The sequence below is a fragment of the Homo sapiens genome, chromosome 8 (assembly GCF_000001405.40).
Source record: "Homo sapiens chromosome 8, GRCh38.p14 Primary Assembly".
Lineage (NCBI taxonomy): Eukaryota > Metazoa > Chordata > Mammalia > Primates > Hominidae > Homo > Homo sapiens.
This window is the reverse complement of record NC_000008.11, coordinates 51,343,763-51,370,292: the sequence shown is the minus strand read 5'-3', so window position 1 is coordinate 51,370,292 and position 26,530 is coordinate 51,343,763. Positions and strand designations below refer to the sequence as shown.

At 38.5% G+C, this 26,530-nt stretch overlaps 1 protein-coding gene across 9 annotated transcripts in view; it reads left to right on the top strand.

Annotated features, from left to right (window-relative positions):
* PXDNL (peroxidasin like) overlaps positions 1 to 26,530 on the top strand; it is a 489,869-nt gene that overhangs the window by 439,153 nt on the left and 24,186 nt on the right. For 8 of the 9 annotated variants that reach the window (XM_047421364.1, XM_047421365.1, XM_047421366.1 and 5 more), the window contains one exon: positions 24,346 to 24,460. The exons of the other annotated variant lie outside the window; for it this stretch is intronic. In XM_047421364.1, coding sequence (XP_047277320.1) covers positions 24,346 to 24,460 — 115 coding nt within the window. The remainder of the gene's footprint in view (positions 1 to 24,345; positions 24,461 to 26,530) is intronic. 9 annotated transcript variants of the gene reach the window in all.

The following is a 26,530-nucleotide window of genomic DNA, read 5'->3' as shown; positions in this document are numbered from 1 at the left end:
GGAAGCAATGGCTCCGTGTAGAGGCCAGGGCTGCGTGCCCATACTGACACATACCATTTCTAGCTCTTCTCACCTCTGCCCATGTGATATGTGATTCAGGGAAACACCTAGCTCATATAATTGTCCTGAGTCTTTCAAGGTGGTTGTTATTATCCCTGATTTACATATGAGGAAAATAAGGCTCCTGGAAACTAAATCCATTTTCTAAGGTCCCACAGCTGACCTGAAGGCCTCGGCTCTTTCCTCTGTGCGCACCGCCACCTGGTAGCACGTGTAGGGTAGGTGCATGGCACAGAGACAGTGAGCAGGCCCCCACCAAGGGCAGTTCCTCTGCTGCCCTCCCCCCATTGCCATTGTTCCATGTTGAAGACTCGGAGGAGGGCTCCTCTGGTTATTTAAATGGTAATGAATCTGCTGTGGGCAATGTTTGTTATGGAAAATGCAATGCAAGGATGTAACAGACCAGAGGAGGGTTGGGGTCTTGAGTTTGTGCAGCGTTCTTATCAAGATCTGTGGTCCCAATCAATAATAAGAATACTCTTTCTCTGTGAGTGTCTTTAAAAAATGTCTGAAAATTAATAAGCCAGCAGTAAACATCTACTCCTTAACTGGATACAAACATACAGTGTTTTTTTTTTTATGGCACTATAAAAATGCTCAGAAGTCATGTCAGTAGCAAAATTACCTAAAGATATGAATATGCCTGATGTAGTTCCAATCCTAATGTAATGTTTGTAATGAGAACCATTACAAATGGATACATGTGTATTTTTCCGTGTACTTTCTGACTAACAAGCGTGGATTTTTCAGAAAAATTAAAAGACAGTTTAAAATGAGTGGCTTAACAAAAGGTGTTTAGTAACTGCTCCAAAGTGGACCACTTTCTTATGGGATGGGCTTCTTACACTTCCCAATTAACAGAAACATTGCTCTATGTAGATTAGAGGCCTGCTGGAACATTCAGATCTCTGAGGAACTAGTTTCTAGACTGTGGCTCCGTAGTTTCAGGTAGGTTATACATTTTAATGGTCTGAGTTAAGTAAGGCAGTTGAGAAGTGCTGGTATTGACTACATTGAGTCCATCCCTGAGACCTGAAGTTGCGAATTTCCCAAACAGAGAAGGTGTATTAAAGGACCTAGAAACTATGTCACTACTCAGTACACTTGTCTTTGTTGTGTGTTCATTCATGTTGTATTAATAGATTTCTTCCCTCTCCTTTGCTAATCTCACTCTCAGACTAAAATAAGTGATGGTGTTTAAATGATTTATTTATTTATTTTTATTTTTATTTTTTTTGAAACAGAGTTGTGCTCTGTTGCCTAGGCTGGAGTGCAGTGGTGCAATCTCGGCTCACTGCAACTTCTGCCTCCCAGGTTCAAGTGATTCTCCTGCCTCAGCCTCCTGAGTAGCTGTGACTACAGGCCCGCACCACTGCGCCCGGCTAATTTTTGTATTTTTAGTAGAGACAGGGTTTCACCATGTTGGCCAGGCTGGTCTTGAACTCCTGATCTCAAGTGATCTGCCTGCCTCAGCCTCCCAAATTGCTGTGATTACAGGTGTGAACCACCATGCCCAGTGGATTTAATTGTTTTAACTGGCATTATCCTAGAGTAAAATAGAGACCTCCGTTTGGGATGTAAATGGCCACTCCAAGCAGTCCTAGTGGTTCATTTTGTTAGAATGAAATGTATGATTAAATTGACCCTCAGCCCTTTATGTTGTTTTTAAAGAATAATTTTATTTTCAACAGGGCTATTTTTTTTTTCATTTTTTGTTTCCCACGAATAATAGCTTACTGGTTAATACTGATACCAGCATCTTCCAAATTTAACTACATTTTTTTAAAATCCTGGAGAAACTCTTCTCCTAAATTCCTAAACACATTGAAATGGACTCTGAGTCTGTTTAAACAGTGATAATATAAATGCAGTCAAGATTTACATCATTATATCTTGTTATTCTTTGTAGGTAGAAGGCATGAGATCTAAATAATGGAGCTGGGATTTCTGTCACTTAGCTGTAAGGCTATGGGTTTGTATGGGTGATCAAACTGGAAAAAGTTGGGGTGTTAAGGACTTGGTTTGTAGTTTTCGTGTCATTTATTATGTTTGATGAAGAATTTTGTTATCCACCATTTTGTTTTGTTTTGTTTTGTTTTGAGATGGAGTTTTGCTCGTTACCCAGCCTGGAGTGCAATGGCGTGATCTTGGATCTTGGCTCACTGCAACCTCTCCCTCCCGGGTTCAAATGATTCTCCTGCCTCAGCCTCCCAAGTAGCTGGGATTACAGGCCTGCGCCATCAGACCTGGCTAATTTTTGTATTTTTAGTACAGACGTGGTTTCTCCATGTTGATCAGGCTGGTCTCAAACTCCTGACCTCAGGTGATCCACCCGTCTCGGCCTCCCAGAATGCTGGGATTACAGGCATGAGCCACTGCACCCTGTGGCCCTATCCACAGTTTTTAACCCATGAATTTCAGTTTCTCTTCAAACTATTCTAAAACAACATGGTGTTTTTGTTTTTCTTTTTGCCCTTAACTAAATCCATTGTCGTGCATTTTTTTTCATAAATTTCCTCAAGTCATTCTATGTATCTGTTATATAAGTAATTCCTTTAAAATATTGCTTAGTATTTAATGGATAGGATTGTATATACCAAAATTCATGCAGCCATACTTTGCATATCAGGGCTTATATGTCCATAGGCTAGGTTCTTATAGAATTCCCAAAGTAAAGTTGCTGAGGTACAGGATATAGGCTTTTTAATGAAAAAAAGTGTTGTCAGATTTATTTCTAAAAAGATAAACATGACGATTCCACAAACAATTATATTAATACCCACTTTATTTCCCCACCAGCAATTGGTAATATAGCCCTTGGTTTTTTGATAGTGCAGTGAGTAAAAACTTAATTATCTCAAGTTCATTTTAATTTTCATTTCTCTGTTAGTGTGTTTAAACAGCTTTTTCCATGGTTTTTGGTTTTGGGGATTGGCTGTGTGCATTGTGTGTTCATAGTCTTTGTCCTTTAATCAATCTGTATGAGCTCTCTGCAAATGCTGTGTGTTAACAATGGTGAGGGTGAACATCCCAGGCTTGCCACTAAATTGAAATGGTTTCATCATTTACCCAGCAGCAACATGCTTGCTTCCTTTTATATGAATTTTTTTTTTTTTTTTTTTTTTTTTTTTTGAGACAAGAGTCTTGCTCTGTCGCAAGGCTGGAGTGCAGTGGTGTGATCTCGGCTTATTGAAACCTCCACCTCCCAGGTTTAAGCGATTCCCCTGCCTCAGCCTCCAAAGTAGCTGGGACTACAGGTGCCCACCACCACACCCAGCTAATTTTTGTATTTTTAGTAGAGAAGGGGTTTCACCATGTTGACCAGGATGGTCTTGAACTCCTGACCTTGTGATCTGCCTGCCTCGGCCTCCCAAAGTGCTGGGATTACAGGTGTGAGCCACCACACCCGGTTTATTTGAATTTTTTTATGCTTAAGAAGATTTCTTTCAGTCCCTTGGTCCTCTCTGTAACAAAGTAGCTGCTGCATTTCACCTGTGCTGCTCCTTCTCCCTGTGCACTGCCCACTGTCAGGTCCTACTGTACAGAGGGCTTTCTTTAATTTAGTTACTTCATTTACTGTTATTTAGAGCTTCCCTCTTCAAATTAGCCTTATTTATTTTTCCCATTATTTGCATATGCATTATATACATAAATACGTAAAACGTATCTTCTATGTCTGTATACATGTATAGGTGTGTACACATACAGATGTGTACATTGTTAAAAACCTTAGACAAATTAAGTTTAACAGACTTTACTTGACAAAGGGCAGCCTCCTGAGCCAGAGCAGGCTCAGAGAGACTCCAGCACAGCCACGTGGTGGAAGAAGATTTATGGACAGAAAAAGAGAAGCAATGTACGGAAAACAGAAGTGAGGTTCAGGAACAGCCAAATTGGTCACAGCTTGGGCTTTGCCTTATTTGAACCCAATTTGAAGAGTTGGCTGCCTTTGATTGGCCAACTGATTATGAGGCTCAGCTGACACAGGAGTTGATTACAGTCTGTTTGCACTTCAAGTCAGGTTCACTATGTCCAGACATCTTTAGGCCAAACTTAAAATATGTAAGGAGGCAGCTTTGGGCTAAGCTTAATTTAGCAATTTCCCTCTTTTGGTCATCCTCTCAACTTTGGGAGATAGACCAAAACTTTAGGAATTAATGTCACTCTGTCATCATCGTAAATGTCAAGTAATTTTGTGTGTTCATGAGGGTTACAGTAGGGGCAACCTTCTTTTGTTGGAATCTACTGTTCACAGGGGGAGAAAATGGTCACTTTAGGACCTATCTCCTTCCTTAAAGTTTCAGTTTGGTTATGCTGCTTTTAGCATAAGTGCCTCCATTTTGCTTTTGTCTGGTTTGTTGGGGCCTGGTGCAGGAGCTCAGTCCAAAACAATGATCTCCCATAATTTTGTTTAAAAACCTCCTCTCCCTTTTTGGTAAGGTTCTCACTTAGGTGAGCATGTGACCAATACTTAGGGCCTTATCACCACTCTCAGTTACCATCATTTTGGGTTTTCTGTCTCAGCATATCACTCACAGGCTACGATGTTCTCATGATCACATGTTTCTTTGAGTTTTTGTCATTCCAGTTGAAGAAAGGCCATTTGACATTCTACAGATGGCTGCATGCAAACGTTTAAAATTTTTGAGAGAATACAACGCAGCAGGGAGACTACTGTTATGATTATCAGGAGGATAATACCAAGAGCTTGGAGTATGCTCCTTACCTGGGGTCCCATAAACCAAACCAACCAAATAAAATCAAATAGATCAAAGAATGTGCTAGGTAAAGAATCTACTCACTTTAACCAAGCAGTCTATTCATTAATTCCTTACAACTGAATCTCTGTAATACCTGATGTGATGTATTTCTCCATGGGTGACAAGAAGTGCCAACAACTACACAGACACTTCTCTGTTAATCACTAAGTGATCTAGAGCAATTTTATTATTTAGCACAACTTTCAAAGGAGCATTTAAAGTCTGTTGTATAACTGGCTGGGCCTGGTGGCTCAAGCCTGTAATCCCAGCACTTTGGGAGGCCGAGGTGGGCAGATCACTTGAGGCCAGGAATTTGAGGCCAGGCTGGCCAACACAGTAAAACCCCATCTCTACTAAAAGTACAAAAATTAGCTGGGTGTGGTGGGTGCCTGTAATCCCAGCTACTTGGGAGGCTGAGGCAAGAGAATTGTTTGAACCCAGGAGGCAGAGATTTCAGTGAGTCGAGATCATGCCACTGCACTCCAACCTGGGCTACAGAGCGAGACTTCATCTCTAAAATAAAATAAAGAAAAAAAAATAAAGTCTGTTGTATAACATAGCATTTACAGTATTATCTGCTATAAGAGCCTATCATGAGGGATAAATTTCTAATCATTGCTTCATTTACTCCAAACCATGGGAAAAGAAACCTAACAAAAGATGCCCATTTGGAAGAGTGAAGTCTTCCTATTAATTTTCTCCATAACCGATGGCAGCAATGTTCTCTTTAACCTATGATGTAGGTTAAGAGGAGGGTATCCGTGTTCTGTTTCTGACTGATTGTGAGACAACAAATGTACCATGAACATTTCTCACTTACACTGGCCCTTCATCTTCCATCTATCAAAGCATAAAGTTGTCTATGTATATAAGGCTGGCTTCAATATCTTTCACAAAATAAAAGTATACCCCATGAGTCCACACAACCATCTCCTTTTTCACTTTTATTGTTCATAGAAGTATAAGCAAGGAAAAAAAATAGAAAGATAAGAGTCTTATGATAGCAGAGAAGTCTTGATTCTTGATCTGGTGAAAAAGCTACCCACATCAATGGTGTTATCTTCTTCTGGGGAGAAATTTTCCTGGTTAGCTTTAACCTTAAGGTTTCCAGTGGGAATACAGTAAGAGTGTGGAGGGGACCTTCTGAGTTGTGAGGTCATGAACCCAAGGTTCAAGGTCTCAAAGTTTTGCTACAATGTGATGGCAAAGGACAACTCTGATGTTGTTCTCAGAAAATTCAGTCTTCAGGTTCTAGATTGTGCTCAGTCAGATCACCATGTAAAGCTTTCTTTACCTTGTGAAAATACACCTTGACATAGTGCATTAAGGCTTTGCAGCATTTAGTTATGTCAGAGTTTATTAGTGGAAGATACATGAGACTGTGTTATTAGGGGGATAGTCCTTTCAATGACATAATAAAGGTGTCAACTTATGTTTTACACTGGAAGTGGATGTGATTGTCATTAATCTACAATACCTTTTACCAAAACAATTCAGTCAGTTCCTCTAGCTTTGCCCAGTACTATAGTATCTATAATACCTTATTTAACTGTTTTATAACTTGTCCAGTGAAATAAGTATCCTATCTCTGGCTATTTCTCCAGGAATAATCTTTTAGCTACTGTTATAACATCAGCCCTTGTGCATGGGAAAGCTTTTATACAACCAGAAAACATGCACTGAAAATGTCTTCCCCCAGGTACTAAGGGAGGAGACCACCCCTCATATTATCTTATGCCCAATTTCTGCCTCCAAAGAAAGAAGAAGTAAAAACTAAAAGGCAGAAATGAAATCCACAGACATACAGCGCAGCACCACGCCCTGGGCCTGGTAGTTAAAGATGGACCCCTGACCTAATCGGTTATGTTATCTATAAATTACAGACATCGTATGGAAAAGCACTGTGAAAATCCCTGTCCTGTTCTGTTCCATTCTAATTACCGGTGTATGCAGCCCCCAGTCATGTACCCCCTGCTTGCTCAATCAATCACTACCCTCTCACGTGGAACCCCTAGAGTTGTAAGCCCTTAAGAGAGACAGGAATTGCTCACTCAGAGAGCTCGGTTTTTCAGACGTGAGTCTTGCGAAACCTCCCGGCTGAATAAAGCCCTTCCTTCTTTAACTCAGTGTCTGAGGGGTTTTGTCTACGGCTTGTCCTGTTACAGTACCTTCACTAATGTCTTCCCCCAGGTACCTTCCCTAATGTCTTCCCCTATATGCCATTTAGCCACGTGGCACCCAGGAGGACTATGAAGGGCAGTGCTTGTCTAAGTCCTGAATTTCCATGCCTGATGTAGAAGTCAGGACGGAAGACAGCTGTGAGGAGGATGCCTGGAGGATACAACCCTTCCCAGAATAGCCAGGAGGCAAAACTGGGCCAGGGAAGAACGGGTCATGTTGGGCTTGATTCTGGCTGGTAGCTGCTGTTCTAGGAACTGAGAACTTTGCCCCAGGCCTCACTATGGCCATCTGTCCAGATCACTGAATCCAGACTCTCAAAACCAAACCGTAAGCTCACAGTCAAATCAAACAAGTACCTACTTATATTTAACTGACAATTTTGAAACCATATTTTGCCAACAATTTAAAAACTAGTTTTATTTACCAAATTTTATCACATACACTTAACATATATAGTACACATATGAACACAGAAGCAGATCTTCTAGTTTTCATAAAGCTAGCTTATAAATAATTTTTCCTTTCTCTCTTTAGACTATCCCTCTTTCAATCACATGCTTCATTGCCCTAAGCAACTGCCAGCCAGGCAATTCCAAATCTGTACTTCTAAAGGGCCAACTCCCAGGCCAAACAAGAAAATCTGTATTTCAACAGCACAGAGCTAAGACTTTAGACCTAAATATTGTATCATCAGCTCAAACCAAAAAAAAAGTAGTGGAAGTAAAAGTTCAGTTAAGACAAGATAGTCTGAAAAGCACTTTAAAAAAGGTTTGACTTGTTATGTAAATTGAAAACAATGGCAAGAGTTTCTAATGTACATAGGCAGATATCCTTAAAAATGGAGATTTCCTTTATAAATGTAGGTTTTTTTACAAAAAGGTTTAAAGATAGCCAGTTAGATTCCAGAAAGGCATATTTTAGTTCCATGGGTGTTCTTTTTAACTTAGCTACTATTTCTTAGCTAAAATTACTGAGTTCAGCATGGAGCCCATTAAGGAATAGAGCAAAGAAAGCATTTTCCATGACTGGATTCAGCATGGATTGCTGTGAGAAAGAAGCAAGCCTACTTTACCGGAGGTCTTATCTTTTGTAAACACTTTAGGATAGCTTTCTTTTTGCCTTTGGGGCAGAATAATAACTAAACCAAAATGTTAACAGATATTTTCTTATCAATTAGTCACTTAAACTTTTTATTTGCCATTTGTAAAAAGTCTCTTTTAAAAAACAGTAAAGATATTAAAATCTTTTTAGAAGCTTTTGCCTATCAATAGGCATCCCTAGTTAAGACTAATTTAAGAATTCTCATTTTCTTTTTCTTTTCTTTTCTTTTTTTTTTTTTTTTTTTTTTTTTTTTGAGATGGAATCTCACTCTGTTGCCCAGGCTGGTGTGCAGTGGCAAGACCTGCGGTTCAAGTAATTCTCCTGCCTCAGCCTCCCAAGTAGCTGGGACTACAGGTGTCCACTATCACTCCTGCCTAATTTTTGTATTTTTAGTAGAGATGGGGTTTCACCATGTTAGCCAGGCTGGTCTCAAACTCCTGACCTTAAGTAATCCACCTGCCTTGGCCTCTCAAAGTGCTGAGATTACAGGCGTGAGCCACTGCACCTAGCCAGGAATTCTCATTTTCAGATGCACTGCTTAAAGTGTGGTATTATTCATTTGGAACATTGCATTCTAATTTTAAATTACCTTTAGTAAGATTTTACCACTTCTATAAGTGTTTGCTGCTTCCAGAGTCTGATATTTATACATGCAAATGTAGGCATAGCTGGAAGGTGGATTATTCAGTTCTTTAGAAACTAAGGATCTCCTTTTTACCTTACATCTTGGCTTTGGCTATCAGATCTCCTTGATCAACTTAGTCAATGATTTTTTTTCTACCTGAGCAACCAAAAAGAGAAAAGTGCAAGGAAGGGGTAGAACACAAAAATCCCTGTGAATTTGCAAAAGCTGAAATTTATACCTTCTGCAATATTTCCATTTATTATCAGTTTCTGTCTGACTGGGTCAGACATAAGAGGCCTCTAACTGGATCCAAGCCAGTTAATATCAGATCCAACGTGATTCTGCATCCAGTCCAGTTTCTGTTGTGTTTTCTGAACCCAGTTCAGATAAAAAAATTTGCTCAAACTCAGAGAGCTAAAAACAAATCCGTGGAGCTTTGGAATCTGAGAGAGAATACCATGATCCCCAGTTGCTGTGAGAAAGCAGTGGCCACAGTGGGCCTGGCAGGGATCTCACTTGGTCACATGTTGCTTCTGGGCATCGGAGGAAGTTCTACTTCAGGTCCCACTTCTGACACCATCTGTTAAAAGAAAAACCTTATGCAAATTTAACTGAGTAAAGAATGATTTGTGAATTAAGAAGACTCCTGAGCCAGAGTAGGCTCAGAGACTCCAGCACAGCCATGTGGTGGAAGAAGATTTACGGACAGAAAAAGAGAACTGATGTACAGAAAACAGAAGTGAGGTACAGAAACAGCCAGATTGGTTCCAGACCAGCATTTGCATTATTGAACACAGTTTGAAAGAGTTGGCTGCCTTTGATTGGCCAAAACTTAGCGATTGACACAAGAGTAGACTACAGTCTGTTTACACATCCAGTTAGGTTACAGTTCACTATGTCTGGAAAAACATTTAGGCTGAACTTAAAATATGTAAGGAAGTAGCTTTGGTCTAAACCTAATTTAACAACATGCGTATGTATGTGTGTATATAACTGTGTACGTGGATAGGTATGTGTATGCATGAGTGTGTACACATATGGGTGTGTGCATGTGTAGTTGTGTACATATATACATGTGTATGCATAAACATGTACATGTAGATGTATGTATTGTATAGGCATGTATAGCTATGTGCACGTATGATACATGCATGTTTAAGTTATGCATATGTACATGTATAGTCATATGCATGAATAGGTATTGTATGTATAGGCATGTACAGGTGTGTATATGCAGATGTGTGTACATGTGTAAGCATGCACATGTATGGGTGTATGCATGTTTGAGTGTATGCATGCATAGATGTGTACACATATGGGTATGTACATGCATATTTGTATACATGTATGGGTATGTTTATATGTGTACACAAAAGTGTATACGTGAATGGTTGTATACATGCATGTATAGGTATATACGTGTCTGGGATACACATGAGTAAGTGTACACATGTATAGGTGTGTGCATATATATAGGTGGAAAATGCTTGCCTTTACTACTCATTGCTTTTTTTTTTTTTTTTGCTTTTCTCTTTTCCTAAAGTGGCCTATCAAGTAATGCTTTCAAATTGAGTACTTGTGTAAAGTATTCTACAAATGGCATTTTGTACTCAAGTATCTTTTTCCCGCTGAACAGTGAAGAGCATCTTACTTGCATAGGATTCCTGGACTGTGGTCTTTCCCATTCTTTGCCAGTGTTCCTTTCCTGATTTCTAGTTTCTTATATTGCAATTGGATGGATAGGTGCGATAGGTGCCAGTCTGGATTTTTTTTCCCCTGCTTAAATAGGGTTCTCTAATGCTTTTTTAATGGGATTCCGTAAGATCTTTTGTTCAGAATTAGAGCAGAATATGCTTAGATGTAACTTTCCTTATCAATCCAGTGTCAAACTTAGGGAACAATTTCAATTCATAGATTTGCATATTTCTTCAACAAGGGGAAATTTATACATATATTTCCTTATTTACTGTATATATCTGTACGTGTCCTCCAAATATTTTTTTTTCCTTCTGAAACGTTCTTTATTTGAGCATTAGGTCTACCCTCCAAATCTCTTTTCTTTTCCTTCATATTACTCTCTTTTATATTTTTGCTAAATGCTCTGATATATTTTTTGCCCATGACCACTTATATCAAATTCACTAATCAGTCTCAACAGAGATCAACCTCCTTTTAAATTTATCTATTTAACTTCTTAGTTCCAACATCATCTGATCATCTGTTTAAGTTTTATGACATCATTTTCTGCAGCATTGGAAATGCCCTGTTTGTATTATTATTATTTATTATTGTTACTATTTTAAACAGATGTTCTTTTGTCATCTCTGTCTCTTGGGTCATGTTTTCACTGAGAAAGTGGCTCCTCTCTCTGATAACTATTCGGGACCCTTTCATGGACAGTGACTTTTTTTATCTTGGCTCAAGTTGTCAAGTTTATCTCCATGGCAGAAACCTAGCAGAAGGAGACAGGTTCACTGGGCTGGGCTATGACATCAGCCTCCCGTAGGCTAAAGCAGGAAGACAACCCACTTATTCAGTTCATTCTTGGCTTTCTGAGAAGTGGAGACACACTGCACACTCTGAGGGCAGAAGCTCTCGGCCAGAAATCTGAACATGAAGCCCTTTCAGAGGTAAGCTGCTCTGAGTCCTCAGTTGAGCAGGGCTGGGCGTGGTTCCCCCAGGCCTGCAGCCTTTAGGAGGATTGTGTGCTGCATTTTTCCCCAGGGTTCCCCTGTCCTCTCAAGCACACTGTGGCCTCTATATTCCTATGCCACTTGCCCAGGGGAGGCCTGTCCCCTGGGGTTGTGGGGGAGGGGAAGAAGGCCCATCTTTGGGGTGCTCATCTTCAGGGCACCGTGCTCCCAAATCCCTGTGAGCTCATTGTCCGCGTGCTGCAATGAGCGTCCTGTGATGAGGACCTCATGCTGGGGCCAGGCGAGACCATTCCTCTTGTCTTTGGTTGAGGTACATGCTGATCAAGGCCTGAGCTCTTCAGGGAGAGCACAGGCATGTGAGCTTTCCTGTCTGACAGCATTAATCAGCATATTTGGTTTTTCAAGGTCACAGAAGACCCTGTTTAATCATTTTTTTACACACTATTATGGGGGCCAGGAATGTACCGACACAAGGTCTGAGAAAACCAGTTTTGATCTGAAACCAAGGGGTGACCTGGAATTCAGTTCTAAAACACTGATTTCTTTGAAGACGAAAAAGCTCTTAGAAGGATCCTCAGGATTATCGTAAGTAAAAAGCAAAACTGGTACTACCTGTTTACTGTTTCAGCTAGCCCCCTCCTGTCTTTTAGCCTGGGAAGAGAGAAGATGAAATCCCATGGGCTCTGAGCCCACATCATCTGAGAATCTATTTCATTTAAAGATAATTCATTAGGTTTCATTTTTAATCTTATACTAAGATGAAACTTATCATAATAGGTTTCTATTTGGTCATTTTTCTCCTTGTGGAGAAACGTGGGATAATTCTAATTCTCCTTTGGTGTGACATCATGTTTATCCTGTGAAGATGGCTTTCTTTTTTATAATGAATCTTTTCTTCTGCACTAAACAGACACCTTCCATCCCAGACTCCCTAGTTTCTTCATGCTGCATGATTTAGAGTTGCTTCATTATTCTGATTTTACTTATCAGTTTTTCTTTCAGAACATTATAATTCATCAAGGTCTTTATTAAAGTGTGATGCCCAGAAGTAGGCATAGCTTTAAAGGTATGTTGTGGATATTGACAGAATTGTCCAATCTGTTATATTTCTTACCTACTCAAAAACAAACCTACAAGCCCTCCATTAGGAAAAAAATAAAAATCATGTGGTTAATCTCCAAAAAAAGTCAGGGATCCTTTCTTCCCTAGGCATCCTATTTGTTCCACTCTGGTGTTGCCAACTTCTTTCTTTTACCTTGTGGGTTAATTTCTCTGCCCATGTTATTTTGACACATAGATTTATACTCTCTATTGTGTGTGTATACTGACTCTGATTTTGTCAATATGAGCAAGTTGCATCTAAATATGTATGAAAAAATATGTGCAAATGCATCTGAAGAAGCCACATCAGATACTGTCTGCTTAGATGACCTCCTTCAGGGACCACTTCTTGATATTCTCTGTATAATTACTTATCTTTGGGCCACCCAGCATTTTACTGGAAGTCATTCTGGGAATGCTGTGATTTGCACAGGAACTGCCATCAGTAGTACCAGAGAATGTGGAAACATGGCAGAGGCGAGGCAGTCCAGGAGTTCTGTGCTGCTTCTGTGTGTACTCTTGCCTCAGGTAGATGGATGTCTTTGGTACAAGATACATAGGAGAAAACCAGTATACTTATAACTTAGTCCATTAATACAGCACTCTGGAAGGATTAATACTGGTAAGGATAATGAGACTATATTCTGATTCAAATAATGGGATATTCTGGCCAAAGATTATGTTGCTTGTTGTCCATGAGGAGGGGTTTTTGTTTTTCTGGGTACTTGAGAAAATGCTATTCCATTGACAGTGTCCAAATTATGTCAAAACAACTTACAAGTTGACTCAGAGCTTATATAAACAGTAGGGTGGTTTGGGGGATAATTATCAGATGAATCAGCTGCTTGATTGGAGTTTTTGTTCTTTTAGCCAGCAGAAACATAATAATTCAGTGCTGTAGGTAAGGCCTAGGGAATAGTAAGTGCCCACTGAAAATATTAAGAAAAGATAAGGAACCAAGAGAGCTCCGACAGAGGCGTAGCTGGTGAAGTGATAAGCAGCAAGTGTTCAAAATGTTGTTTGATTGGATTTTCTTTTAAGGAAAAGGGAAAAGGGAAACCTCATGAGACAAATGCTAAATTTGTAGTTATCAAAAGATCACAGTAACCAAGATTGATAAATGAATGACTATAACGAGAAAGCCAAGAATCTTATTTTACCAGCATAAAAGATAAAGCAAAAATTTTCAAATTTTCTTTGAGATTTAATATTTTATATCACTTAACATACTTTACAGAACATTTCACATTAAATTACTAGGTTCTTTTCTTTCCTTAGCTATCTTAGGTACGGATTTTCTTTTTTTTTTTTTTATTCTTTTTTTGAGATGGAGTTTCACTCTTATCACCACTGGAGTGCAATGGGGCAATCTCGGCTCACTGCAACCTCCACCTCCCGGGTTCAAGTGATTCTCCTGCCTCAGGCGCCTGAGTAGCTGAGATTACAGGCACCCGCCACCACACCAAGCTAATTTTTGTATTTTTAGTAGAGATGGGGTTTCACCATGTTGGCCAGGCTGGTCTCAAACTCCCAGCCTCAGGTGATCTGCCCTCCTCGGCCTCCCAAGGTGCTGGGATTGCAGGCATGGGCCACCCCACCCAGCCAGTTATAGATTTTTGAAGCTGGAGGTGGCCTAAGAGAGTATTTGACTAAGAAACAAGACCAAAAAAACCAACACTTCATCTTAAGATTAGGAAGCAAAAGTTGGAAAGGTTTAAGTAATTTGCTCTCAGTTATTTATTAGCAGACCTAGGGATAGAGCTCAGACTCCCCATTGCCAAGTCCATTTGTTTTCCTCACCCCACCATGTGACCTCGTCGTTAGTTTTCCTTTCGTTATACTTTCTGTAATTTTCTCCAAATCTCTTTCACCAGTAGTTAACATAGGAACTCTTCTTTAGCTGGGTGGCCTTCTTTTTTAGAATCTTGTCCTAAAAAATTGCAAATGCAACAGTCTTGACATTTTAACATCAAATTAATTTTCAGTATCAGCTAATCAATAGATCAAGAGTCTTTGCATAATACTGTAGGCATTACAGATGCAATTAAATAATATTCACAAGTTCTTGTTACCAATCTACTAATTTCAGCAAACTCTACAATTGACACATTTGTTTGTGTCATAAATCAGTCAAAACTCTACTGATAAAATTGACTTTGCATAGAGCAGAAAGCATTCTCTTCAATATAGAACAGAAAATGATTTACTCTCATTTATTTTAGAAATTAAAAACTTACACCTAAGGCAGGTGGGATGTTTCCTAAGACAAGATAAGTGACGTACTAAGACACTATACCACTCGATTAAATAAAACTTCCTTCAAATAAAACAATTGCACAAAGAGTCAACAGATGTATATTTTCTACTGGGATTTATTGAACCATGTGGTCTTGTAATTTCCAGCTGCATACGTCACATTAAGTTCTGTCTTTAGAGCATCAAGTAATTGTAAATACAGTATATTTTATGTACAAATGTAAATATATTTAGGTTTGCTCATGACTTTCTTTCAAATAAATTGTGCTTATGTTTGTGAACTAATGAAAGTTTAATTTCTTTCATAAGAGACTAATTTTATTACCATCGTATTTCATGACACTGTAGTATTTTCATGCTTAACTTATAAAATGCCTTCGAAGTATTACTAAAGAAGTAAGATTTCTGCAACTCCTATAAAGCTTTAATGAAGCAATTACATTGCAACAGTGATCTCAGGTTTGTCTTTGACAGTTTTTGCTATTTTTAATAGAACACCATAAGGACATCTCCCACTCTCCTTGGGTCTGTTAGTACCTAATATCTTGTGTGAAAAACTTGTTGAAATCAAGGTGAGAACATTACAGTAGGAAAAAGGGCAAATAATAGCCCTGAAATGATACAAAACAGAATGAGTGTTCAGTGATATAGATGATTAATCAAACTCTACTGATGATGTTGACTTTACATAGAGTACAAAGCATTCCCTTGAAAATAACCCTCTCATAAGTTCTAAGGATAAGTTATCTTCCAAATACAGCATTCTGCATTTATTTACAATCTATTCTATCACATAAGAAAGAAAAATTTTTCTATATCAGGATTAGGTAATTCATTAGCAGGGCTTCACCAAGTTGCTTAATTTAAGAAAATGGTTTCTTAATACTAGAACTTTATTTTACCATAAAATAAGTGCCTCTTGGTATTTTCCCATCAGATATGTTCCTCTTAGTATTTTCCCGTTAGATATGTGCCTTTTAGTAAACATGAGAACTGTCTTTAGCTGATGACCTTCCCTTTTAGAATCTTATGCTAATGAATTACAAATGCAACAATCTTGACATTTTAACATCAATTTAAGCTAATTTTTCATATCAGCTAATCAGTAGGATCAAGAGTGTTCGCATAATACTTTAGGCATTGCAGGTGCAATTAAACAACATTCACAAGTCCTTGTTACCAATCTACTTATTTCAGCAAATTTTGTAATTGTCCATTTGTTTGTGCCATAATCAAATAAGTCAAAATTCTACTGATAAAATTGACTTAGCATAAGCATGATGATAAATGATAAAAATTAGAAAATTTAGAAATCCTCATTACATTTGTAATTATTAATATTGTTAAAGTATGACATTGATAATTAATGAAATTTGGTTTCAAATATGTTCCCATAAAAGGCAAAATATTTGGTAAACAGGATATATGCTCTGCAGATCACTAGGGAAAACCAACAATGTGGAGTTTAAAGGAAACATTGAAGAACAAAAATCTTAAAATCCTCATAAGACCCAAATGTGCCTGAAGTTTCAGTGCATTAAGAGAATTACTGAAAGTCGAAGACTGCTTTATCTATCCAAAAAGCAGCTTTTAACTCTATACCATTAACAAGGGCCATACATAAGCAAAATATTGATAATGGTCACATATAAAAGCATACATCAAAGTTAAGTCAGGCACACAGAAACAGGAGTGGCAATAACAATACACAGTTGAATGTAAGTAAGAAAAGCATTCACTGAAACGAAGTTTATTTCAATCTCAATTTTGAAATAGCTTAGCATCCATTCAGCACAGCTTAATAGAATTGTGTCTGAATATTACTAATGAGATCAATTTGTGAAAGATGTCTTTAACTTTGTCCCTATAAGCTAAAATTAACTTTATCTTCAAATATTCATAAAGATTCTCAAATATTGATTATATGCTAGGTCACTAGGAACACTAAAATTCCCAGAAGCAGACTTCATTATCTTTTACCACAGTGCAACTAATCTAAAATAATCAAATTTAAAAGAAAATAGCTACTGAGAATTTTTTAGTCATTAGACCAAATAAATATTTTATCAAGAAGTGTAATATCTAAAAATATTAATTACAACATTATTATCAAAATTTATGGGTAACAGAGGTAAATACAGAAACAAACTTGTAGTTTTATTAAAAATGAAATAATAAAAATAAATTAATAAAACACACAGCTTAAGATGTTAGAGAAAAGACAGCTAAATAAATATGAATGTACTGAGAAAGCCTGAATAAAGATATAAGTGGAATTGATGAATAAATCTAATAGCTGGCTTAAAAAATAAAGGAAGGAGAAGTAATAACTATAAGAAATTATATATTCATCTAATATCTAGTATGTATTATATAGGTATAATATATATATAATACATAGTAATATACACAATAACATAATAATAACATGCTTTTTCCAATAATGACAAAGAGAGAAAAATGAAATTGAAAATTAGAAGAAGATTGTAGCCATTTTCTTTCTTGGAGTCTTGAGACATAGGAATGCTTTTTAGTTGTATACTTCTTTGTACCATTGTACTCAATAGGTAATCTTCAATACTCACTCTCCTCCCACTCTCCTACCTTTCGGAGTCTCCAGCATGTTATTCCACTCTGTCTATCCATGGGTACCCATTGTTAGCTCCCACTCATAAGTGAGAATATGTGCTATTTGCTTTTATGTTTCTGAGTTATTTCACTTAGGATAATGGCCTCAAGTTCCATCCACATTGCTGAAAAAGACATGATTTCACTCTTTTTATGGCTGAGTATTATTCCATTGTATTAGTCCATTTCCACACTGTTATAGAGGTACTACCTGAGATTGGATAATTTACAAATAAAAGAGGGTTTCTGACTCACAGTTTCACATGGCTGGGGAGGCCTCATGAAACTCACTATCATGTTGGAAGGCAAAGGAGAAGAAAGCACCTTCTTCAGAAGGTGGCGGGAGGAAGAGAGAGCAAAGGGGAAGTGTCATACTTTTAAACCATCAGATCTCGTGAGAACCCCCTCACTATCATGAGAACAGCATGGGGGAAACCACCCTCATGGTCCAATCACCTCCCACCAGGTCCCTCCCTGGACATGTGGGGCTTACAATTAGAGATGTGATTTGAATGGGGACACACAGCCAAACCATATTATCCATGGTGTATATATACCACATTTTTTAATCCACCGATGCACTTTTAGGTTGATCTCGTGTTTTTGCTCTTTTGAGTAGAGCTGTGATAAACATATGAGTGCAGGTGCCTTTTTGAAATAATGATTTCTTTTCCTTTTGGTAAATACCCAGTAGTGGGATTGCTGGATCAAATGGTAGTTCTATTTTTAGCTTTTTGCAAAATCTCCATACTACAGTACATTTTTTTTTATGGTGGGAATTATCTTCCTGATTCATGAGAGTAAGTCGAGGGCAGTGTGCAGTGGATGGTTGTTGAGATGACCACACACTAATGTAACCCTGAGGAGTCACGCCCTCATGTCATCCCTTTTCTTCAGTGAGAGCAGAACCTGTGACCTGCTTCTAATCAGCAGAATACAGCAAAGGTGATGAAATGTCCCTCCCATGATGAAGCTACCTCATATTAGACTCTGTCTTACTAGATGGAGGGAGAAAGATTCCCCTGCTGATTGTGAGAAAGCAAACCACTATGTTGTGGAGATAACATTTTTCTGATTTTTATTTATTATGGAGAGGGCCTCATGGAAGGGAACTGTGGGTGGCCTCCAGGTGGCCTTCAGTAACACAACCACGAGGAAGTGAGTTCTGCCAACACAGATTCTGCCCCAGATGACATGAGAATGTAGCCCAACTAACAGATTGGAGCCTCATGAGACTGAGCAAAGGACCTGCTAACCTGTGCCAGGAGTCCTGCATTCTGGCCACGGAAGGTGTGATGTGCTGCGTGTGGTAGTTTGCTTGGGATTCTGTAACAAAGCACCACAAACGAGACAGCAAAATGTGTCTCCCCACTCCAGAGGCTGGGAGTCTAAGATCAAGTGCTGGCAGGGCTGGTTCCAACTGAGGGCTGTGTGGGAGAATGCATTCTATGCCCCTCACCCTACTTTTCATGGTTTGCCAACATCCATTGTTTCTTGGCTTCTGCTGTATCTCTCTGACCTCTACCTTCATGTTCACACAGTATTCTGTGTTCATGGCTGTGTCCAAATTTCTTCTATTTATAAGGGCATTAATCATGTTGAATTAGTGGCCCATCTACTCCAGTGTGGTCTCTTAACGAATTACTCTGCAACAACCCTATTTCCAAATAATGTTATAGTCTGAGTTACTGGGGATTAGAATTTCAACATATGAATTTTGAGGGAATACACAGCAATCCATAAAAATGTGTTTGTATCATTTTAAGCCATTGCATTTGTAGTAACCTGTTAACACTGTGATAGATTCCTAAAGCAATTGTAATAAGAAAGTGAAATACCAGTAAGAGTATGAAGAAATATTAATGGGGTGCTACTGGAACCGTCTCACTTCAAAACAATTGTGGGGATAGTTCAGTATTGATTCTAATTGAGGTGAAACATCATCTAAAGATATGATGTATTAATATACTCAGTTCCTTTATGAGAACTAGAAGCCACTTTGCTATTAATACAGGAGTTATTAAGAAATTATTTTGGGAAGTTAGCGAGGGTAAAAGTTCTCGGTGGAATTTTCCTTTAATAAAAAGCAGCCCCAAATCATTTCTTCTCTAACAAAAAGCAGTCTGAAAGGTCAGGCTGCAAGCATAGATATGCATGTGTAAATACATGTGGCTAAGAGCCAAGTCCATCCAACATGGCGGTTCCTGCTCCCTTTTCCTTGTCACCACGTGTGCGGGTGTCATGGCCGCTGCCAGGTAGAAGCTGCATTTGCGGCTGGGCGCGATGGCTCACACCTGTAATCCCAGCACTTTGGGAGGCCGAGGTGGGCGGATCACCTGAGGTCAGGAGCTCGAGAACAGCTTGGCCAACACAGTGAAACCCCGTCTCTACTAATAATACAAAAATTAGCCGGGTAGTGTGGGCCTGTAATCCCAGCTACTCAGGAGGCTGGGGCAGGAGAATCGCTTGAACCTGGGAGGCGGAGGTTGCAGTTAGCCGAGATCGCATCATTGTACTCTAGCCTGGGCGACAAGAGTGAAACTCCCTCTCAAAAAAAAAAAAAAAAAAAAAAGAAGCTGCATTTGCTAATAAAAGACTAGGGTGGGAGGGCTAGTCTTTTCCTAGGTTATCTAAATGGCATACCTGGTCAGACCAATCCCCTGGGCCCTATGCGAATCAATCACTGCCTCCTCAAGCCTCTGTACAAAATTGATTGCATTCCGTCCCAAACCAGAGACCCTATCTTGGGCGACCAGCTTTCCCAGCATAAGGAAGCTTTTTTTCTTTCTCTTCTTTTTTGTCTATTAAACTTTATGCCTCTAAACCCACTCCTCGTGTGTGTCCGTGTCCTGAATTTTTTCTCGGTAAGAGATAAAGAACCAGGGTATATACCCCAGACAACAGAGATGTTTCATATGCAATATGAATGCATTCATTCTCAAAGTGTCCCTCAAATTTATTGTCAGTTTTGTAAGTTTGCTTTCAGTTATTTGTACTTTTCCCCTTTTTGCAAGCAAATAAGAGGTGTTGAAAGTGTTGAAAATAAAAATCAGATATATTTTTGCCAATTTGAAAAATCAATTTTGACATATTTTTAATCTATGGAATGCAGCATTGGGATACTAGTGTTCCAAAGTTGCATAGTTTTGATCAATTCGTGGAAAGACATAGGATTGCCTGAGCTACTGTAGCTCAATCTCCCAAACTTGACCTTGTTTATTCACCACGGACTGTCAATCCACTCCAATGAACTGCAATATTCAGACATATTCTGAAAGCAACCTGCTGTCTTGAGAATTTTCTAGTTTTATTAAAGCATTTACTAGGCACCTGCCACAAGCATGTGCTGAGGATTAACCGGTAGGTAGGACAAGGCCCTTCTCTTCTGCTCTTCTCAGAGAATGTGAGGAGTAAGACCCAATGTATCCAGAGAGTGCTGAGAGAGTGCAATGAGTTTACATTCGACTTGCTCTTGGCAGTTAAGAAAGGCTTCCTGGAGAAGGCTGACATGACACCTATGGCATTTGTCACTCAAGTGAGACCAAATGAAGTTGGAGCAGGATCATTGGCTGTGGATTGTGCATTAGGGAGAAATGAGACTGGAGAGGCAAGAAGGTGCTGCATAGGGAAGAACCTTGTTTCACCCACTAAGAATCTAGGTCACCATTCACAAAGCAAAGGCAGGAGCAGCGTCAGGGTGGGGGCAACCAAGGCTGCCCTGAATGGGAAGATTCACACACACACACACACCCCCACACACACACCCACCCACCGTTATGCCTCTTGAACACGAGTTATCTGGCTGTATCTTCATCCACATCTGTTGCCGTCTTCAAACACCCTATCTGCTGTAATTCATACCCGCATGTCACACATAGACCAGAAATTTAAGCTGATCTAAATTTAAGTCATTTCATTTTACTTTCCACACTAGACTCATCCATCCATTCATTCAGTTAACAAATAATGACCCTATTATTTGCAAGTTGCATAAGCCAGAAATCTAGGAGTTAACTTTCTTCTGTTTTCCTCATTCTGTGCTGTAGTGTTATGGCTTTTGAGTCTGACTGTCCGGATTTAAACCCTGTCTCTTCTGTTGAAAAGCTGTAGGACTTTGTACAAGATAATATAATCTTTCTGTGCCTCAGGTTAACAATAGGGAAGATAATATTGAGTATAGGTTATTGTAAAGTTTCAAATAAATAACTCATGTAAAGCCTAAGAACAGAGCTTGAAAACATGTATGTATATATACACATGCACATAGATATATATGTATGCATATGTATATATTTATATAAGATAAATATGCATAGGGATAAAATCAAAGCATCTACTATACTAACATTGCATTTAAATGTAAATGTAATGTTGTTTGCTTAAGAGCCAAACATTCAGCAATCAAGAATACTCTGCTTCTTTGGCAGTATCCAGGAATAAATAACGAAGTGAATTAAAAGAAATGATGTCAGAACTACAACATTTTAGCTGTCACATTACAAGAAACCTGCCATGTCACTGCAGTCTGGTGGGTTGTTTCTGTTCAGGTGTACTCATCTGTGTATACCTGCAGTGTTATATACATGATTCTTTGCTTTTTGGGTTTTATTTATATGACCTTGAACAATCTATTGGTGCTTTAAAGTAAATAAATTCTAAAGCTTCATCTTTCTAAAAAATAATGAAAGACCATAGATGATGAGAGTTTATCTGCAGAGCCTTTTCTCTATATTTTTTCCTTTTTATATGAGAATTGAAAAGAAAGATATTTGGCTTAGCCGGAGATGCTGCATTGTAGTGGGGAGAATACTTGCAACCTATTGAAAATCAGGAACCATGCCTTATCCACTTTTATTTTCTCTACAGTGCCTAGCCTAATACCTTAATTCAGTAAGATCTCCATAAATATTTATTGACAAAAGCTGTGTGCTATTCAGAAATAGAAAGACTGAGTTTCATTTTACGATTGAAGTTCACTTTCTTTAGTTGTATTCTTCGTAAATATTTCTATGTATTTTTTTTTTACTCAGAGCTGCAAATATTTATGCGTTATTAATTATCAGTAAAGTACTAAGTCGAGGTAACAGCATAACAGTAGGGGAAAATAAGCACCTGTGGGTCCCTTAGTATAATGTACAGCTTTATCTAGAATGTCTTGACTTCACCGTTATAAAAGTAGCAATAGGTCGGGCGCGGTGGCTCATGACAGTAATCTCAGCACTTTGGGAGGCCGAGGCATGAGCCACTGCACCCGGCCTCCAGAAATTTTTTATCCAATTATGGTAATATACAACAATATGATAATTAACTTGTAAACCTTATAAGAAGGCTTGGATTTTCTTCAGTGAACTGTGTTTGGATTTTATAAATAAAGACGTTTTTAATTGAAAACAAAAGGTAGAAGTAGAAATAAAAAAGAAAACAAGTAACAACCATAACCAGTATTCTAGACAATGTCACTGTGGTAATTTTGGGATGTTTTCATTTTAGTTTATTTCTGGTATGTTTTAATACCAGTGAGTTCATATGTATAAGTTTTACTCTTATTTTGTCTAGCATTATAGCATTTGCAGTTTGTTGTGTTATTTTAAAAATCATCCTAAATTTCATATTCATGTTAGCTTAATAATCTTTCATGTAATATTCCTCTTGAATTTAATTTACATATGATAAGGTGAAGATGTAAGTGGTTTTCACTTTCTCTTCTTTTAAGAATAACTTGCTAGCTGCCCAGAACAAAAGTACTCTCTGCCTATTTTCCAATTTATGCTGCCTAATATAATGTGTTAAATTCGATTGCATGGTAAGATGCTCTCGGGTTGTTATCCTGTTTTATTTTTTCAGGTATTTTCCCACCAATATTAAGAATTTTTATTTTTGAACTTCATATATAGTAGTTTTACTATCTGAGAATGTTGATTCCTACGTCATTCTTTTTCATTTTCAAAATATCTTAGTTTCCAGACCATCTGTTTTCATATGAAATTTTAGAGAGTGTATTAGGCAGTTTTTGCATTGCTATAAAAAATACCCAAGACTGGGTAATTTATAAAGAAAAGCAGTTGAATGGGCTCACAGTTCTGTAGGCCATACTGGAAGCCTGGTGCAAGTTATCTGCTCAGCTTCTAGGGAGGCCTCGGGGAGCTTTCACTCATGGCCAAGGCAAAAGGGAGCAGGAGGCAGGGCACATGACATGAGTGGGAGCAAGAGAGTACGGGAGGTCCCACGCACTTGTAAACGACAGATCTCCAAGAACTCACTCACTATGGCAGGCACAGCACAAAGACGTGAGGGAGCCGCTCCCACATCCAGATACCTCCCACCAGGCTCCACCAACACTGGGAATTACATCTCAACAGCAGGTTTGAGGGGGATATCCGTACTATATCAGAGACCACTTTTTAAAGTTCCATATTTATTTGCAACAAGTTTTTCATGTTATTCTCATATCTTTTTGATTGTGATAAAAACACATAACATAAAACTTACAATTTTAACCACTTGGAGGACACAGTACAGTTGTGCAACAGGGGGTATCTTAAAAAACAAATCCCTAGTGGGTATCAGGTGTGCCTGAGACACTTTGAGGAGTTGCCAAATTTCAAGCATTCCACTCAGGACTGTCCTGCTTCTTTCTTCATTGTGCCAAGTCCTTAGTGAATAAAAGACACCATGCAATCCATGCCCTTACTAAGTAAGATTCAGCATCACTCTGCCTGGGGCTCCTCCAGAGGTTCTGCAGACTGCCTTGCATCCCACTTGCTGCTGCAAAACAGAGATTCAGTGACATGCAAAAGCAGGTATCTGAGACTGTGGTCACCCAGCAAAATGGAACGGACTAAATGAGTCTCTCTCACTCTCGCTCTCTACTCTTTCTTCTTGGTACTCTTGCCCTCTCTGACTGTTAAAGAAATGATCTAGATGAGATCATGACATCGCATCTCACATGATGCTATTGTGGTTACTTCTTTCCCCACAGACTGTAGGAGTAGAGGACAGTTCAGAGCAGTGACGCAAGAGTCTCAAAAGAAACGCTCAGCTCAATACAGCTATCCTGTTGATAAGGATATGGAGTTAAGTCATCTAAGAAGTAGGTATGTATAGAAATATCTCATTTCTTTAGGCAACTTACTATAGATTTGCTTCAAACCTACAATTTGTTTTTATCTTTTTTAATAGAGACCACAGTTAACTTATTTACATATAGGATGAATCACATGAAAAGGAGAAAACACAGAATGAATTCTGTAATGTGTTTGGGTTCCATTTCACTCTGCAATAGCCCAACCAGAGCGTATTTGGCAATGAATTTTTCTCAGTAAAGTGCAGAAAACTAAGTGTATTAGATGCTAGTTTTGATCCCTTAAATGACATTATGAGTTGATATTTTTCAGATTCTTTTTGAAAATATGAAACAGCATATTGTTTGCGAGAAAGGTAATAGTATCTATTTAAGCTAATTCATGTTAAGTTGATTTGAATTCATGAATAATATATGGCAAGCAAGGCTTGATTTGTGACCAAGATGGAATATTTTTGAACTCTTAGAAAATTGAGAAATGTCAGTCTTATTCCTTTGAAATCCCTTAGGACTTCTTTTGTGTAGCTTGTATATTAGCTTGATACAAAGTGTTGCCTTAAAAAGTTTCTCCCTACCATTGACTTGGAAGCTTCTGAAAGCAGAAACACTACCTTGAGCATAGGTATGTCCAGTAGCTCCTTTTCATTGAATAAGGAGTCAGTACATACTTGTGAAATTAAGTTACCAAAATAAACATTGCAATTCACAGCTTCATAGTCCATGCAGGTTCTTTCAAGGAACCATGTATCCTATTTTTGTTGTCCATAGCTGCCTTCTAAGTAGTATAATTTAGTCAAATTCAAAATCCATTTTTGGCATCCATTTCTTCAATTACAGTTGTCAACTTGAACAATATATGGGCCCTGTACTCTAAGTTTTAAAATTGAGGAGAGGAGATAGTGTTGTTGGACAAGAAGTGTGAAGGCTTTAGAGTCAGGCACATGGATTCAAATCCTGTTTCTACTGCTTCATAACTATGCATGTTATATAAAATTTCCAAATCTCCATTTCCTCTGCTGTAAAATGGGCATGTAATACCTACTTTACAGGATTATTGTCTTAACTTGAGGATACATATGTAAAGCACTGAATACTAATATAGTACCTAGCATTTTACAGGCATTCTGTAACACACATTCTGTAATGACACATGCTGTTGTAGTGTTCACTGAATGCCAAACATTCTTTTAAGCATCAAACAAATATTAACTCACTTAACGAAAGTGCTTATATGAGTACTGAAGTGAAATCCAATCATGGAGTGAGTAGTGCAGAGCAAGGGGTGATTAATTCTTATTGGGGCCCTTTGACCGGGTAGACAGAGGAGGGCTCTTGAAGGATAAGCTAAGATTTTGATAGCATTTAGGGGAGTCCAAGTCTGAAAGAACAACATGAGCAAAGGGAAGTGAGGTGTGTTTGGAGAATGGTACAATTCATGTGTCTAAATGAGTTGGTCCCAAATATTCAGGAAGCTGAGGTGGGAGCATCACCTGAAGCCAGGAGTTCAAGACCAGCCTGGGCCACAAAGTGAGACTCCATCTCTAAAAAAGTTTTTTTTTTTTTAATTTAAAAAATTAGCTGGGCATGGTAGCATACACCAGTAGTCCCTGCTACTAGGGAGGCTGAGGCAGGAAAATGTCTTGAGCTAAGGAGTTTGAGGTTCCCATGAATTACGATCACGGCACTATACTCCACCCTGAGTGATAGAACGAGACTGTCTATAGACCTCTATAAAAAACAAACAAAAAACCCAAAATGAATGAATGAATGAGTTGGTGTGTTCAATAACTAGGAATGAAGAACATTCTTCCAGAACATTCTGAAAGAAGGTTGAGGCAAAGAGTGAAGAGCTGTAAATTCCAGGGTGAGGAAATGAAATATATTTTGTGTTCCTGGAGCTAATCCAGGCAAGGTAATTGGAACTCTGATCAGGAGTTGGAGTCCTAGTGAGAACCATTTTTAAATAATTTGAGTGTTGGAAACATTCACTTGGCCCTTTTATTTGGCATTTCATCTGTTTTTCCATTGATTCAGGTGAAGCGTTTTACCAGTGTGTCATCAGAAGTGGGTACCGGACTCAAAT